The 16,891-nt window shown below is 41.8% G+C and overlaps 2 non-coding genes across 2 annotated transcripts; one reads left to right on the forward strand and one right to left on the reverse strand.

The window, feature by feature from the left end:
• Positions 1 to 8,295: 8,295 nt before the first annotated feature.
• MIR4662B (microRNA 4662b) lies at positions 8,296 to 8,376 on the reverse strand. The gene has a single exon (NR_039809.1). It is a non-coding gene; the product is annotated as a microRNA 4662b (primary transcript).
• MIR4662A (microRNA 4662a) lies at positions 8,303 to 8,369 on the forward strand. The gene has a single exon (NR_039806.1). It is a non-coding gene; the product is annotated as a microRNA 4662a (primary transcript).
• Positions 8,377 to 16,891: the final 8,515 nt, after the last annotated feature.

Genomic DNA, 16,891 nt, shown 5'->3' on the forward strand with positions numbered 1-16,891 from the left:
GTGGCATAATCACTTTGGAAAACTATTTGGCAATCCATATTAAAGTTTTGTGTATGTGTATATATATGTATATATATATATGCTCTAGCAATTCTACTCAATAGAAATGCATACATATATTCACAAAAAGAACACATAAGAATGTTCATAGCAGCACTTTTGTAATAGCTAAAACCTGGACACCACTCATATTTTCATCAACACTAGACTAGATAAATAAATTGTGGTATATTTATACAATGGAATATTATAAGACAACAAAACAAGCAAACCACTGCCATATGCCATAGCATGGGTGAATTCTACAAAATAATATTTAGTGAAAGAAGCCAGATAAGAAAGCATATACTGTATGATGTTATTTAAGTAACATTTAAATAAAGTCCAAAATCAGGCAAATCTAATCAATTTGGAATGAAGTCAGAACATTGGCTACTTTTTAGGGGGTGGTGTCTAGGAGAAGGCAGAAGGAAACGTTCTGGAGTGCTGGCAATTTTCTAATCTTTGATTTGTATGGTGGTTACTTGAATGTGTCATTTTTTGTAAAATTACATCAAGCTATACAAGTAGGACTTACACACTTTGCTCTGTCCATGTTATACGTCACTAAAATGTTTGTTTGTTTGTTTGTTTTTTAAATACAGATGAATGGCGTTCCAGGCAGGGAGCTAGCATAAGACATGGAGAGGGAAATAATATGATATGTGGAAAATGACAAGTAGCTCAATGTTGCTGGAATATAAAACCAGAAGTGGGTTATAGAAGGGCTAAGGCTGAGGCCGGGCGCCGTGGCTCACGCCTGTAATCCCAGCACTTTGGGAGGCCGAGGCGGGCGGATCACGAGGTCAGGAGATCGAGGCCATCTTGGCTAACACGGTGAAACCCCGTCTCTACTAAAAATACAAAAAATTAGCTGGGCGTGGTGGCGGGCTCCTGTAGTCCCAGCTACTCGGGAGGCTGAGGCAGGAGAATGGCGTGAACCCGGGAGGCGGAGCTTGCAGTGAGCCGAGATAGCGCCACTGCAGTCCGGCCTGGGCAAAAAAGCGAGACTCCGTCTCAAAAAAAAAAAAAAAAAAAAAAAAGAAGGGCTAAGGCTGAAGAGGTGTCAGTTACAGGTGATGGAGGTGTCACACTAAAGAGCCTGGACTGTCTGCTGAGGGCAATTAGGAAACACCAGAGGAGCCCAAGCAAGAGCTACATAATAAGATTTAAAATTAAAAAAAAAAAATTGTGTCAATCCTTGTGACGGGGATCCAAAATAGACACAGGGAGATTGGTTTAGATGCTCTTGCAAAAATCCAGATGAGGGATGATGAAACACTGAGTCAGGGCAGTGGTTGTGGGGCTATTAAAAGAGCATGATCTGAGAAATAGGAGACAATATTAGTAAGACTTTATAGGATGTGGGAGGTGAAGAAAGCAGAGTTGGGATGATTCTTAAATTTGTAACACAAATGACTGCATGACTGGTCGTTCTGTCAAATGAGGCAGTGAAATCTAGATGGAGTTCAGGAAAGGGGCAAAAGACAAGTTCACTTTAGACAGTTTGGACAGGTTTACCAGATAAGGCAGCACTCTTCAAGTCAAGGGGGATTCTTTGGGAGCTATTTTGGGGTCTCCTGTTTCCTGGAATCAATGACCAATTTAAATGCCAGGTCTCTGATGTTCTTTACAATTACTGTTTGGTTTTCTTGCCTTTTCTGGTCACAGTGCACATTCAAGACACAAAGCCACGGTTGTCAGCAGCAGATCCAGCAGCACCATGGTCCTGGGGTCTGAAAGACTTCATCTTGCTTTCCTCTGCTGCTCCAGACAAAGGCCGTCTTGTACACTATCTATTTCAGTCATTTGTATGAGCGCCGTGGAATATTTTCAAGCTATCCCTTTTAAGCATTATCTCTTGGCAGTTAAGAAAATAGATCCATCGCAAGCACTGGAAGTTCTGAAAAGGAGTTTAAAAATAGCTCCGGGTGCTAGACAGCTGCAGCTATTGGGAAACTGAACCCTTGGCTTGCACTTTTGCTGGTTTTATTTCAACCTTGCAGCTGGAAATCAGTAGCTCCTCCTCTGTTGGGAACAGATGCAAAAGGAAGAAGGCACGAATCAGTACCCTCTTTTGACTTGGGGTCACACTTGGCAATCTGAATGCTGAGAGGCACCAGGGCAATGCAGAGTGAGCATGTAAAACTCTTGAGTTTCAAACAGCCTATCCAATATTATCTTTATATTTATTTGGAAGTGAAAATAAAGCTTGTTGGTTTTGTCATGCAAATTATAGGAAGCAAATCAGATAAAATCCTCTTGGCTGGTAAGAATAGGCAGAAAACACATCAACTGGTAACAACACAATGCTTTACATGCATTCTTTGACAACGCTATGAAGTGACTGCTATTGCCATTTCCATCTTTCGAGTGAATGAGAAAGGAAATTGTGGAAGAAAGTGCCTGGCCACAGAGCCAGGGAGCTGGGGAGGTGGGGTTGCCACACAGTCAGGCTCCAAAGCCCCTGCTCCCAGCCATTGCACTCTACCACCTTTCAACTGGGGATGCATGCAATGTTCATGTTTCTCAAAAGGGAGCATGGGTGTTTAAAAGTAGAAAACTCCAGTAATAGACATGAACAAATCTCTGTTTTAAGCCTAGCTATACCATGATGCCACTCAATACATTTTTGCTGAGTAAATGAAGGACTGCATTTTAAATAAATAAAGGAGGACCCTTAGCCTTTTTCTGTTTGTTTTTGTGATTTTTTTTTTGAGATGGGGTCTTGCTCTGTTGCCCAAGCTGGAGTGCAGTGGTGTAAACACGGCTTACTACAGCCTTGACCTCCCAGGCTCAAGTGATCCTCCCACTTCAGCCCCCCAAGTAGCTGGGACTACAGACATGCACTACCACACCTGGCTAATTTTTGTATTTTTTGTGAAGATGAGGTTTCATCATGTTGCCAAGGCTGGTCTCGAACTCCTGAGCTCAAGTGATCCACCTGCCTTGGCCTCCCAAAGTGCTGGGATTACAGGCATGAGCCACTGGATCTGGCCCCCTTAGTCTGTTTGAGATTCCGTTTCTTTATCTGTAAAATGAATATAATGATATATTTTGGTAGGCTTCACAAAACTTCCAAGGATCAAATGAAATAATGAGCTTTTTACGGTAGTGAAATAGCCTGGAAATTCATTCCTAGTTAATTCAACCAGTGGTTATTGAACACCTACCATGTGCTTGGAGCTGCATCTATATCAGTGAATTAAGAAAATAGAGTCCCCGCTTATGTTCTATCAGGAGGAGATAAAAAATAAACAGACCTACTAAGTAGGTAAAAATTCTAAATTGTGTTATGATGTATCCCTTAAATGATGAGGGAATATGGAAAAACAAAAAAATAAAGTGGCGTAAGCATGATTGACATGGGGATGGGCTGGAATATAAAACCAGGTGCTCACAATAGGCCTCACAGAAAAGGTGACATTGCATTGACATTTTAAGGTGAAGGAGTTAGCTCTGCGGATATCTGTGAAGAGTGTGACAGATAATGAGGTGGAAAGATGCCTGCTGTGTAAGGGGAAGTCATTGAGGAGTTCAGGGCTTTGTATGGACTTGAACTCTGTTCAGAAAGAGACAAGGCCCACCAGAGGGCTTGGCATGACCTGGCACGTTTTAAGGGGATCATGCCAGCTGCTGTGTTGAGAATGAATGTAGGTGGTAACGGCAGGAACAGGGGATGAGACCAGTTCTAGAAGAGAGGTAAGAAGTGTCACCTTCTGTATACACTTCAAAGAAAGAGCCAGTGGATTATGATGAAACTGGAGGAAAAGCTAGAGAATGAGCTCCAGAATCCAAGGAAGGAAGTGGACCAGGGCAGAGGGCACATTAGATCATATTGACAGGTCTGGCCAATGAGGGCTGGGGCTACCTGGGAGATTTGATGTGGTCACTGTTGACCTTGACAAGAGCCATCTTGCTGGGGGGCGGGAGTGGACACTGACTGGAGTGGGTTGAAGGAAGAATGGAAGGAGAGAAACTGGAGTCAGAGAAAAATAGGAGTGTGTTTTTTTAAATTTTTATTTTTAATTGTGGTAAAATACACATGAAAGCGACCATTTTAACCATTTTTTAAGCATACAATTCAGTGGTGTTAAGTACATTCACATTGTCGTGCGACCACCCTCCAGAAATTTTTCATCTCTTGAAAAATGGAAATTCTGCACTCATCAAACAAGAACCCTCATTTCCCACCAGCCCTGGGCAAAACATCATCCTACTTTCTTTTGCTATGAATTTGACTACTCTAGGTACCTCTTGTAAGTGGAATAGTATATATTTGTCGTTTTGTTTTTGGCTTATTTCACTTAGCATAATATGTTCAAGGTTCAACCATGTGTTAGAATTTCCTTCCTTTTCAAGGCTGAATGATATTCCATTGTATGGATTATACTGCATCTTATTTATCCATTCATCTATTGATGGGTGACACTTGGGTTGCTTCTGCCTTTTGGCTATTGTGAATAATGCTGCTATGAACATGGGTGCACAAATATCTCTTTGAGACCCTGCTTTCAATTCTCTTGGGTATATACCCAGGAGTGGAATTGCTGGATGAGGCAGAGAAAAGTTTTACTGCAAAGGGAAGAAATTAAATGGGGTGTAGTCTGCAGAGGAAGGGAGAGACACAAGAGGACTTCTGTTTTTTTCTTTTAAAAGATGTGAAAATTGGAGAAATAGCCTGTTTTCATTTGATAAGACTGATCTGGGCCGGACGTGGTGGCTCACACCTATAATCCCAATACTTTAGGAGGCCAAGGCGGGTGTATCACCTGAGGTCAGGAGTTCGAGGCCAGCCTGGCCAACATGGTGAAACCCCATCTCTACTGAAAATACAAAAATTAGCCTGGCATGTCCTCCCAGCAAAGCTAGAAGAAAGTGAGTTTCTCCTTTTCAAAGGTCTGTTCCAGTGATCAGTTATCTGTGACTTCAACTACCAGTATCTGTGATACTTGGTCCAAGTCTTCCTCCATGAAGCCAGGGGTGGGGGCAGCCCTACCCAAACCTTACAACTACGAACAGAGGAGGGATAGTTCCCCAAGGAAAGTTAGAATTGGTTACAGAATGGAAAATGAATGTGGACAGACAAAAAAAAATAGAAGATATTTATTAGTTTTTTATCTTTGTTACAATAATGAAGATAGAGACTCAGAGAAGTCACTCAACTTATAACTAGAGTGGTAGAGCTGGGTTTTGAATTCAATGGCTATAATTTTTTAAACTTTTTATTTTGAAATAACTATAGATTGACAGGAAGTTGCAAATATATATATGTGTGTGTGTGTGTATGTGTGTGTGAGAGTGTGTGTGTATGTGTGGGTATGTATATGTATATACGAGGAGGGTCTATGTACCCTTCACCCAGTTTCCCACTGAGTATCCCAATGTGTGATTATAGTACAACATCAAAACCAGAAAATTAACATTGGTGCAATCCACAGAGTTTATTCAGATTTCACAGGTTTTACATGCACTTATTCTATGTGTGTGTGTGCCCATCTGTGTGTATAGTTATATGAAGTTTTATCACGTGTATGTGATTCATGTAACCATTACCGTAATCAAGATAGAGAACTGTTTCATCACAACAAGCCTCCCTCATTCTACCTCTTATAGACTTATCTCCTCTCCTTCCTTATCCCTAGCCCTGGAAACCACTGATCAATTATTCTCTATCTCTATAATATTGTCATTTCAAGAATACTATAAAAATTCAAAAGGTTACAATATGTAACTTTTGAGATTGGCTTTTTTCACCCAGTGTAATTCTCTTGAGATTCATCCATGTTGGCTGTATTAAGAGTTTATTCCTGTTTATTGCTGCATAGTATTCCATGGTATGGATGTTTAACCATTCAACCATTGAAGGACATTTGGGTTGTTTCTAGGTTTTAGATATTTCCAATAAAGCTTCTATGAACACTCATGTACAGGTTTTCGTGTGAACTTAAGTTTTCATTTCTCTGAGATAAATGTACAAATGTGCAAATGGTAAGTGCATGCTTAGTTTTATAAGAAACTGGCAAGCTATTTTCCAGGGTGATGCTACCATTTGACATTTCCATCAGCAGTGTGTAAGTGATCCAGTTTCTTTACATCCTCACTAGCATTTGGTGTTATTGCTTTTTTTAATTTTAGCCATTCTAATAGTTACACCATAACAACTCATTGTAGTTTTAATTTGAATTTTTCTAATGGCTAATGGTGTTGAACATATTTTCATATGCTTATTTGCCATCTGTACATTTTCTTCTATGAGCCATTTATTTGTGGTTTTTGGCCCATTTTGTAATTAGATTGTTTTGTCTTCTACTGTTATGTTTTGAGAGTTCTTTATATAGTCTAGATACAAGTCTGTTAGATGAATATGTGGTTTGCCAATATTTTCTCCCAGTCTCTGGTTTATTTTTTCATTCTGTTTTTTTTTTTTTTTTTTTTTTGAGATGGAGTTTCGCTCTTGTTGCCCAGGCTAGAGTGCAATGGCGCATCTTGGCTCACCGCAACCTCCACCTCCTGGGTTCAGGCAATTCTCCTGCCTCAGCCTCCCGAGTAGCTGGGATTACAGGCATCTGCCACCAAGCCTGTCTAATTTTTTGTATTTTCGTAGAGACGGGGTTTCTCCATGTTGGTCAGGCTGGTCTCGAACTCCCGACCTCTCGTGATCCTCCCAAAATGCTGGGATTACAGGTGTGAGCCACTGTGCCCAGCCTTTTCATTCTCTTAATAGGGTGTTTTTCAGAGCAAACATTTTTAATTTTGATGAAGTATCAAGATGCCTCAATTTTTTCTTTTATAAATTGTGCTTTTGATTTTAAGTCTAAGACCTCCTTAACTTAGCTCTAAGTGCTAAAGATTTTCTCCCATATTTTTCTCTAAAAGTGTTGAAGTTTTATGTTTACATCTAAGTCTGTGATCTATGTTAATTTTTGTATAAAGTTTTAAAGTATGAGACTTAAGTTAAAACAAGAGATTTTGTTTTGTTTTGTTTTTTGCTCCAACACCACTTGTTGAAAAGAGTTTCCTTCCTTCATTCACTCGCTTTTGCACTTTTGGTATTTTTGGTAAAAAATCAGTTGAGTATATTTTTGTGGGTCTATTTCTGAGTCCTCTATTCTGTTTCATTGATTTGTGGGTTTATCTCTCCACCAATATCATACTACCTTGGCAACTGTAGCTATATAGTGAGACTTAACACAAGGTAGAGTGCTTCCTCCTACTTTTTAAAATAGTTATCACAGCTATTTTATTTTCAAAATTTTTGCCTCCCATACAAATTTTAGAATAAGCTTGGCTTTGTCTACAAAATCTTTTTGGGATTTTGATAAGAATTGTGTTAAACTATTGATAATTTGGGAAGAATTGACATCTCCACTATGATGAGTCTTCCAGTCTATGAACATGGTATTTCTCCTCATTTATGTAGGTCTTTATTTTTTCATCAGCATTTTGTAATTTTCATCAGAGACATAGTATATGTATTTATACCTAAGTATTTTATTTTCTTTGAAGTGATTGTAAATGGTATTGTTTTTAATTTCAGTTTCCCCATGTTCATTGACAGGATAAACAAATGCATTTGATTTTTGAGTGTTGATCATGTATTCTGTGACCTTACTTAATTCACTTATTAATTCTAGGAGGTTTATTTTAGTTTATGTTTTTTAGATTCTTTAGGATTGTATAAATAGACAATCATGTTATCTGCAAATAGAGATGATTTTATTTCTTTCTTTTCAATCTGTATGTCTTGTATTTCTTTTTCTTGCTATATTGCACTGGCTAGAACTTCTACTACCCTGTTGAAGAAGATGTTGAAAGCAGACATCTTTGTCTTATTCCCAATCTCAGTGGGAAGACGTTCAGTTGGCACCATTAAGTATGATGTTAGATGTTTTTTTTTTTTTGTAAATGCTTTTTCACAAATTGAGATATTTTTCGTCTGTTCCTACTTCAGTGAGTTTTTTTGAAAAATAGGGATCATACTTTGCTTTCACAGGATTGCTGTGATGATTCTAGGTGAAACATAAGTAAAAGTTTATGGCTGTTGTGGGCCCTCAAATAAGGTTTAGAAAAACAACCTTTGGACAACATTAAGGCGAGTCATTACAACTTAAAGTGAAACCTTCTGTAGACAAATGATCTCACATCTTCACTTCTAGGTATCTCTTCTGAAGAAACATTGGCTCATGTCCCAGAGATTTATATACAAGGAAGTTTACTGCAACCATGGCTGCAACAGAAAAAGCCATTGTGTACCACAGTGTCTATTTAGCCAATTGTCCATCTTTAGCTATTCTGAATGCCTAAAGATAGACAATTGGCTAAATAGAAATTGTGGTACATCCATACAATGGAATACCATGAAGCCATCGACAAAACATCAAGATTCTATTGACCAACATGGAAAGAGTGCCATGGATGGGCACGGTGGCTCACACCTGTAATCCCAGCACTTTGGGAGGCCAAGATGGTTATATCACCTGAGGTCAGGAGTTTGAGACTAGCCTGGCCAACATGGCGAAACCCTGTCTCTACTAAAAATACAAAAATTAGGTGGGCATGGAGGCAGGCACCTGTAATCCCAGCTACTCAGGAGTCTGAGGCAGGAGAATCGCTTGAATCTGGGAGGTGGAGGTTGCAGTGAGCTGAGATTGTGCCATTGCACTCCAGCCTGGGCAACAAGAGCAAAATCTCAAAAAGAAAAAAAAAAGAGAGAGAAAAAGTGCCAAGACACAAGGTTAGGTGAACAAAGGAAGTCTCAAAACAGAACAATTTGATTTTATATTTATAAATGGCATAATATATAAATATGGCTTATAAATTTATACTTATATCTACATACATATAGTATATAAGTATGTATTTTTAAAACCCAGTCATATATTGTAAACACATTCCTAAGTGCATAGAAAAAGGCCTAGAAGGACTTGACACTCATTTGTTAACATCGGACATCCTTCGGGAAATGAATGGGATTGGGTAGAGTACAAAGGGGTACAAAAGATCACTTTAAAAAACTTTATAAATATATTTGGTCTTTAAAACATTTTTTTACAATGATAATGTTTATATTTACTATCTGTTTACCTAAATAAGACTCAGGTAGTATGGGGCAGGGAGTAGCAATTTCTAGTGGTAAAATTTCAGACAATTGTTTTCCATAGTCACTGGGACCCAGAATTCCTGAGCTCTCTTTGTTCTATTGCTGGCTGCAATATTAGTTGTATGATTTTGGACAAGTCACTTTCTCTCTCTGGGCCTCAGATTCCTCTTGTAATGAGGAGATTAAACTAGAGTACCCATGGATAAGCATTTTTATTATTCACATTTAAGCATCTGACCTCTCTTTGCAAATAGGTTTTTGTATGTGGAACCTTTATGTATACAACAGAAGAAAGCATGTCAACAACCCAACTATTTGTACCCCGGATCCATTTCAGCACTAACGTTTTCTGACTGGAGTTGAAGGCAGTGAACCCAAAGCCACCCGTCAGAACTATACTGCCCCTCAGCTGAGTGAAAAATAACTGGGTGATTTCAAGTGACCCACAGAAGCTCAGGAGTGACAGTTGCTCTCATAAAATGTGTTCCCTGAGCATTAAGCCCTGGTGTTGGCAGGGTCTGATAGCTCAGGGACTGTTTGAGCTCCAAGGAGATCATTACTGTTTCTAGAGAGTTCTATGAGGACCCTGGGTCTTTGGAAGAACTATCCATTTGTGGTTTTTAGGAGAATCAGGTCCTAGATCACTGAAGCCACAGCCCATGGCCCAGAGCTGTAGCTTTACTGCTTTGGGGCTGCAGCAGGGAGGCGAGGCCACCTGGGGAAGCTGAGGGCAAGAGTAGAGGTCAAGTGCAACACACAGCATGCTGTGAAATATGAGAAAGGCTCATAGTGTCTTTTCTTTGAAATGAAAAGCGCCATCTCGAGTTCTGTGGAATTGGGTCCAGCCTTCCTTGGCTATAACAGGCATGATAAGGATCATTTTGCCTCCTTTAGGAGCAGGGCTAGATGTCCTACAATTCTCTGCATTAGTTGAGCCCATGGACAGTAACAGCCATAGTCTGAGATATAAAAAAAAAAACAGCACATCGCCCAGAAAAAAGCCTGGGCCCTGTGCTTTTGGGATTCTATTCGCACGTGTTTCGGACTGGCAAGACTCAAACCCAGAAAGAGGGACTCCCTGAGAGGGGAAAGGCGGACGTGCAGGGCCACTCTGGCCTAAGTCTTCTCTGTGGATCGAAGCAGAAGGTAGGAAGCCGGTGTTTTATACCTCCCTGCCTTTCCCTGCCCATTTGTGGGATGGAGAGCTGGGGGCCTGGGTGAATGACCTGTTGTAGTTCAGGTCCACACTCCTACCAAGGCACACCAGCATGGAGGGCGGGAGACCTGGGCTCAAGCCCCAGTTGGGCCACTTTCTCATCGAGGCTAGTCACATGCCTTTGCAGGTTCTCAGTTTCATTGTTTTTAAAAAGACCATTAGATTAGATACTTTTAAAGGTCCCTGCCAGTAACACTCAGTGATTCTAGAACTAGATTGTAAGAGCCTGGCAGGGTTCCACTTATTTGGTAAGAGGAAAGGAATAAGCTATAATGGTTAAGTGTGTGGAAACTGGAATTAGATTTCCTGAGTTCAACTCCTGATTCTCCTTTACTTACTGTGACTTTTGGAGAAGGTTTTTAATCTCTCTGAGCCTCAGTTTCTACATTGGCAAAATGAAAATAAGAGCTGTAGTTGATGTTGTTGTTTTAAGGGATGCAAATGATAATCTGAATGAAGCTTCAGGATCCAACAGAGTAAATGTTCAATAAGCCTTATCTTATTGTTTTGTATTTCCCCAGTTTAAGATCATAACAGGAACTGGCTAAAATTACTTCTTGATAAAACAATGCCCCTTACCATAGATTCAATTATCCTACAGGCCAAATCATGTGCCCCATGAGGTTAATTTGTTTATTCAATACTAATTAATCAATATTTATTGAACATCTTAAGTGTGGCAGACACTGTGACAGGACTGAGGATGCAAAAGCATCAAGATCTTATTATAGGGCTGGGCGCGGTGGCTCACGCCTGTAATCCCAGCACTTTGGGAGGCCGAGGCGGGAGGATCACTTGAGGTCAGGAGTTCAAGACCAGCCTGGCCAATATGGCCAACATAGAAACCTCGTCTCTACTAAAAATACAAAAAAAAAAAAAAAAATTGGCTAGGCATGGTGGTATATACCTGTAGTCCCAGCTACTTGGAAGGCTGAGGCAGGAGAATCTCTTGAACCCAGGAGGCGGAGGTTGCAGTGAGCTGAGATTGAGCCACTGCACTCCAGCCTGGGCAACAGAGCGAGACTCTATCTCAGAAAAAAAAAAAAAAAAAGCTCTTATTATAGAACTTACTCTAATAAATACTCTAATAAAATCCTAATTTGGAACACACCTCACTAAGAAACATTTATTAAGCATTTATGGAGTTCAGAGAACTGTTCTGGTGTTGTTGGAGATTCAGTATTTTGAATCATTTCCTCCACAAAGATTTTAGAATTTTGAAGGGGAAACAAAGACATAACATGAATTTCATGGCCTTCTCTTTTGATCTCCAGTGGTGACTGATTTGGACATTTGTGACATGCTGAGCATTTGTGTCATAAGCATCTCACTGAACTTCCTGTGGTAGTCACTAGCATTAACTCCATTGCAGCCTGGGTAACATGACGAAACCCTGTCTCTACAAACAAAACAAAACAAAACAAACAAACAAACAAAAAAAACACCACAAAATTAGCCAGGCATGGTGGTGCGTGATGTAGTCCCAGCTACTCGGGAGGCTGAGGGGGGACAATCGCTTGAGCCCAGGAGCTTGAGGTTGCAGTGAGCCATGATCATGCCACTGCACTCCAGCTTGGGTGACAGAGTGAGACCCTGTCTTGAAAACAAAAGCAAAAACTCCATTACACAGAAAAAAGGAATTCACCCCTGAGAGGGTAGGTAACTTGTCAAGGGTCACACAGTTGGCAAGAAGGAGAGGGTTGTCCTGTCTTTAGTATACCCCGCTGTATTAGTTAACTTGAGCTGCCATAAGAAAGCACCACCAACTGGGTAACTTAAACAACAGAAATGTGTTGTCCCTTCTAGTCCTGGAGGCTAGAAGTCCAGATCAAGGTGTCGGTAGGTCTGTTTCCTTCTGAGGGCTGCAAAAGAGAATCCGCCCCATGCCTCTCTCCTAGCCCCTGGTGGTCTGCTGGCAATCTTTGGTGGTGTTGGGCTTGTAGATGCATCACACTGATCTCTGTTTTCACCTTCATGTGGCATTCTCCCCATGTGCATGTCTGTCTCTGTGTCCAAATTTCCCCTTTTTATATGGACACAGTCATACTGGTGTAGAGATCACCCTTATGGCCTCAACTTGATCGTCTGCAAAGGCACTATTTTCAAATAGGGTCACATGCGCAGGTATCGAGGATTAGGACTTGAACATTTTTTGGTGGGGACACACAATTTAACCCATTCGAGGCTTTGGTGTCTCTCACTTGCAGTTCTTTCACTTCCTCCCTAAGACAGCTTCAGGCAGCTTAGAGTTGGATCTCCTCCTTGACATTCTAATCCGCTGACGGCCAGCTGCTTGTCAGGGGTCCTATGCTTGCTGATGAAGTTCCCGGTGGTGCCAGGCACTCTCCCCATTGAAACAGTCCAGCTGGCATGATGAGAGGGCAGGTAAAGAAGGCACGTCACCTTCTACAAACCAAAGTGTAACAGCAACAAGATTAATATAGCAATGTCTATTTATTGATCAGTTATTATCTGCTAGGCACTGAGTTAAGTATTTTTCATGCACAATCTATTTATTCCACACAGCAATCCTAAAAGATAGGAATCACTATCTCATTTCACATATGAAAAAAACCTGAAGCTCAGAGAGATTAGGTCCAAAGCCATTGACTGTTTGTGGCCAGGAGTTCAAGACCAGCCTGGGCAAAATAGCAAGATCCCGTCTTTACAAAAACATTTTAAAAATATTAACTGAGTATGATGGTGCATGCCTGTAGTCCCAGCTACTTAGGAGGCTGAGGCAAGAGGATCGCTTGAGCCCAGGAGGTCAAGGCTGCAGTGAGCTATGATCACACCACTGTATTCCAACCTGGGCGACAGAGTGAGATCCTGTCTCTAAATAATTGATAATAATAATAATAATAACAGATGTTAGCAAATACTGCTTTACTATGTTGTCTCCTTTCCATGGAGCTTCTGGGTTAAATAACACCCTTTCCCCCTCCCCTTAGTATGGTTGATTTGAGACTCTGCCCAAGCCTTGTTAGTTCATATCCTAGGGCTGTGAATGAAGTCAGTGAGTTCTAAGAGTGGTTAGTGCAGTAGCCACAGGCAATGTGACCTTGAAACAAAGATGGGCAAGGCCCGGAAGAGGACACCTGTCACTAAGGGTCTGCCCAGTGCCGTTTTCCCTGAGCTGTGGCAGCTTCACGCCGTCACTCCCTTGTGCAGGGACTGAAGTAAGCCCATGGTTTATTCTGGAGGTTGCTCTTGACGCTGCTGTAGAAAATACCATTGTTTCCATTGTTCTAGAAAGTGGGCTGGGCCGGGCACAGTGGCTCACGCCTGTAATCCCAGCACTTTGGGAGGCCGAGGTGGGTGGATCTCCTGAGGTCAGGAGTTCAAGACCAGCCTGACCAAAATGGAGGAAACCTGTCTCTACTAAAAATACAAAATTAGCCGGGTGTGGTGGCCCATGCCTGTAGTCCCAGCTACTCGGGAGGCTGAGGCAGAAGAATCACTTGAACCCAGGAGGCGGAGGTTGCGGTGAGCTGAGATCGCGCCTTTGCACTCCAGCCTGGGCAACAAGAGTGAAACTCTGTCTCAAAAAAATAAAAGAAAAGAAAGGAAAAGAAAAGAAAAAAAAGTGGGCTGGGGCAGCCTTTCCCAGGGAGTGAGGACTTGGGCGGTGACTGAGCAGAGGCCAGGAGCAGGGAAAACAGAAACAAGGCTGCTGAGACCCAAACCAAGACCCTCTGCTGTCTCTATCATGTATTTCCCTGATTATAAAAGTAATCACTGATTATTTATTTAAAAACACAAAAGTGTTTCTTCCTTTCACAATCTTAACCATGTTGGTGCATAGAATTCCATACTGCTTCCATTCACATATAAAAATTATTAATCATATATCAAAAAGATCATATGATTTGTCATCTGCTTTTGTCACTTAATGATATGGAGTATCATGTCCTGTCTGTGCAGAAAGCCCTCCCTCATTCTTTTGAATGGTCGTACAGGATTTGATTGTTTCATTGTGCGGATAAAGCATAAATTGTTTAGAGTGTTAATGATAGACATACTATTTCCTACTTTTTGTTCTTAGAAACAAGGTTTTTTTTTTTTTTTTAGAGACACGGTCTCACTCTGTCACCCAGGCTGGAGTGCAATGGTGCAATCATAGCTCACTGCAACCTCAACCTCCCAGGCTCAAGGGATCCTCTCACCCCAGCCTCCCAAGCATCTGGAATTACAGGCATGTGCCATCGTCATGCCTGGTTGATTTTTTAGTTTTTGTAGAGATGGGTGGGGGGGGGTCTCACTATGTTGCCCAGGCTGGTCTCAAACTCCTGACTTCAAGACTCTACCCTCCTCAGCTTCCCAAAATGTGGGGATTACAGATATGAGCCACCACACTCAGCCAAAATTCTTGTACATACATCTTTGTCTTCTTGCCCAATTATATCTTTAAGATTCATTGTTAAAATGAAATTGCTAGGTCAAAGGGCACACCTATTTGCAAGTTAAAAATTTGAAAGTTCATTTCCAGGTTGACTTCCACAAATGTTAGATATGGTAATGTTCCCACCAATAGTACTGGGGACTACCTGTTTCCCCTCCTCTGCCAATTAAGCATTACACATGTAACAGAAGAACAAAACCATGTCTCATTGTAAATTATGTTTTTAAAAATTATAAGTGAAAGTGACTGTATGTTTATGTTTGTTTGGCCATCTATATGTCTCTTCTGTGGCTACTGTTTATGTTGTTTCTCGACTGGGATGTCCTCATGGAATCTCCAGAAAGTTGCAAACTTAGTGTGTATCTGGACTTTCTTTACCACAACAGGGACCCGTGCATGGTTGGCTTTCAATTATCTGGGGAAAAAGGAACCAGTGACCCTGAGACTCCAAGGTCAGCTTTAATCATTCCTTCACGAATTCAGGCCAATTCATTCATTTACTCTTGCGGTCACTTGGAAATTATTCCTGTAGTAATCCATTGCTCTGGTTTACTCATTAATCATTTTTCAAGTCATTATTGAGCATCTGCTGCCTGGGAAATGCCAGGTCCCAGGGTCGGGGGAGACTGGAAGGGAAACCCTCTGTGGTGATTACTCTCCCTGCCTAAAGGCAGAGATCAGTCCCATAAATGGCGGAATTCCGAGCCACTGGGTAGGAGGAATGGAGGGAAAGACTGTGACTAAGGAAGGCTTCCTGGAGGTCACCTGTGAGAGGATCAGTAGGATTTGGGTATAAAAAGATGGAAAAGGGTCCCAGCAGAAAAGCAGATCCAGGGAAGAATCCCCTTCGCAGGTGGAGGAGAAAAAAGTATAAACAAAGGCAAAGGTGAGAGCTGTTATGTAGCAGGGAGCCCAGCTCTGTGACATGGGTTTGCCAGGCATGGGGGTGGCTGGAGCAAAGGCTCTTCTCTTTTTTTTTTTTTGGAGAAGGAGTCTCGCTCTGTCACCCAGGCTGGAGTGCAGTGGGGTGAGCTCGGCTTACTGCAACCTCCGCCTCCCAGGTTCAAGCGATTCTCATGCCTTAGCCTCCCAAGAAGCTGGAATTAACAGGCTCGTGCCACCACGCCCAGCTAATTTTTGTATTTTTAGTAGAGATGAGGTTTCACCATGTTGGCCAGGCTATTCTTGAACTCCTGACCTCAGATGATCGGAACACCTCGGCCTCCCAAAGTGCTGGGATTACAGGCATGAGCCACCGTGCCCAGTCAAAGGCTCTTCTTAAAAGGGGTTAATGGAAGATAATGTGAGATTGGCCAGTGGGGTGGGACTTCCTTTGTCACCACCCAGAAACTAGACTAAGGCAGAGCTGTGCTTTAAGAGATATTCTGGCAACAATGTAGAGGACAGACTGGCAGAAAGACACCTTAGCTAAGGCTGTGGCAACAGCCAAGGACAGTGATGAGGAGACCCTGAGTTTGGATGCTAATGGGAAACGCTTGAGGGCTTGGGGAAGCGCAAGAGCCCTGGGCTAAGAAGTGGGAGGCCTGGGTTCCACTGCCATGCTGCCACTGCCTGTCTGTAAAGGGAGGTGGTTTCAGGAGGGTCAGAAGATCAGCTGTTACGTAGCAGGGAACCCAGCTCTGTGGCATTCCACTACTCACCAGCTCCTGTGGACCCTCCACTGGTTTCAAGGTGCTCCTCTAGGTGTGGGGCCAAATACAGTGAGAAGACATGGTCACAGGCAACAAGGAAGACAACCGGGGTAAGGCAGGACTGTACATGAAACCACTGGAGGAGAAGAAAGGGCTGTTGACATATTCCCTTTTCCTACTTCATTTTTTTGACAACTGCAAAACAATTTCATCTTACGGATGCTCCATAATTCATTTCCCAATTTCCCGATGGTGAAAATTGACAAATTTTTGTTGTCATGGAACTCTTTGTGCACTGAATTTTGATCATAGGCAAGAGTTGTTTCTGTAGGGCAGTTTCTTGGTGGTGGAAGAGTGCGTGCATTTTATTTATTTATTTATTTTTGAGACAGAGTCTCGCTCTGTTGCCCAGGCTGGAGTGCAGTGGCGTGACTCACTGCAACCTCCGCTTCCCAGGTTCAAGTGATTCTCCTGCCTCG

The sequence above is a fragment of the Homo sapiens genome, chromosome 8 (genome assembly GCF_000001405.40).
Source record: "Homo sapiens chromosome 8, GRCh38.p14 Primary Assembly".
Taxonomy (NCBI): domain Eukaryota; kingdom Metazoa; phylum Chordata; class Mammalia; order Primates; family Hominidae; genus Homo; species Homo sapiens.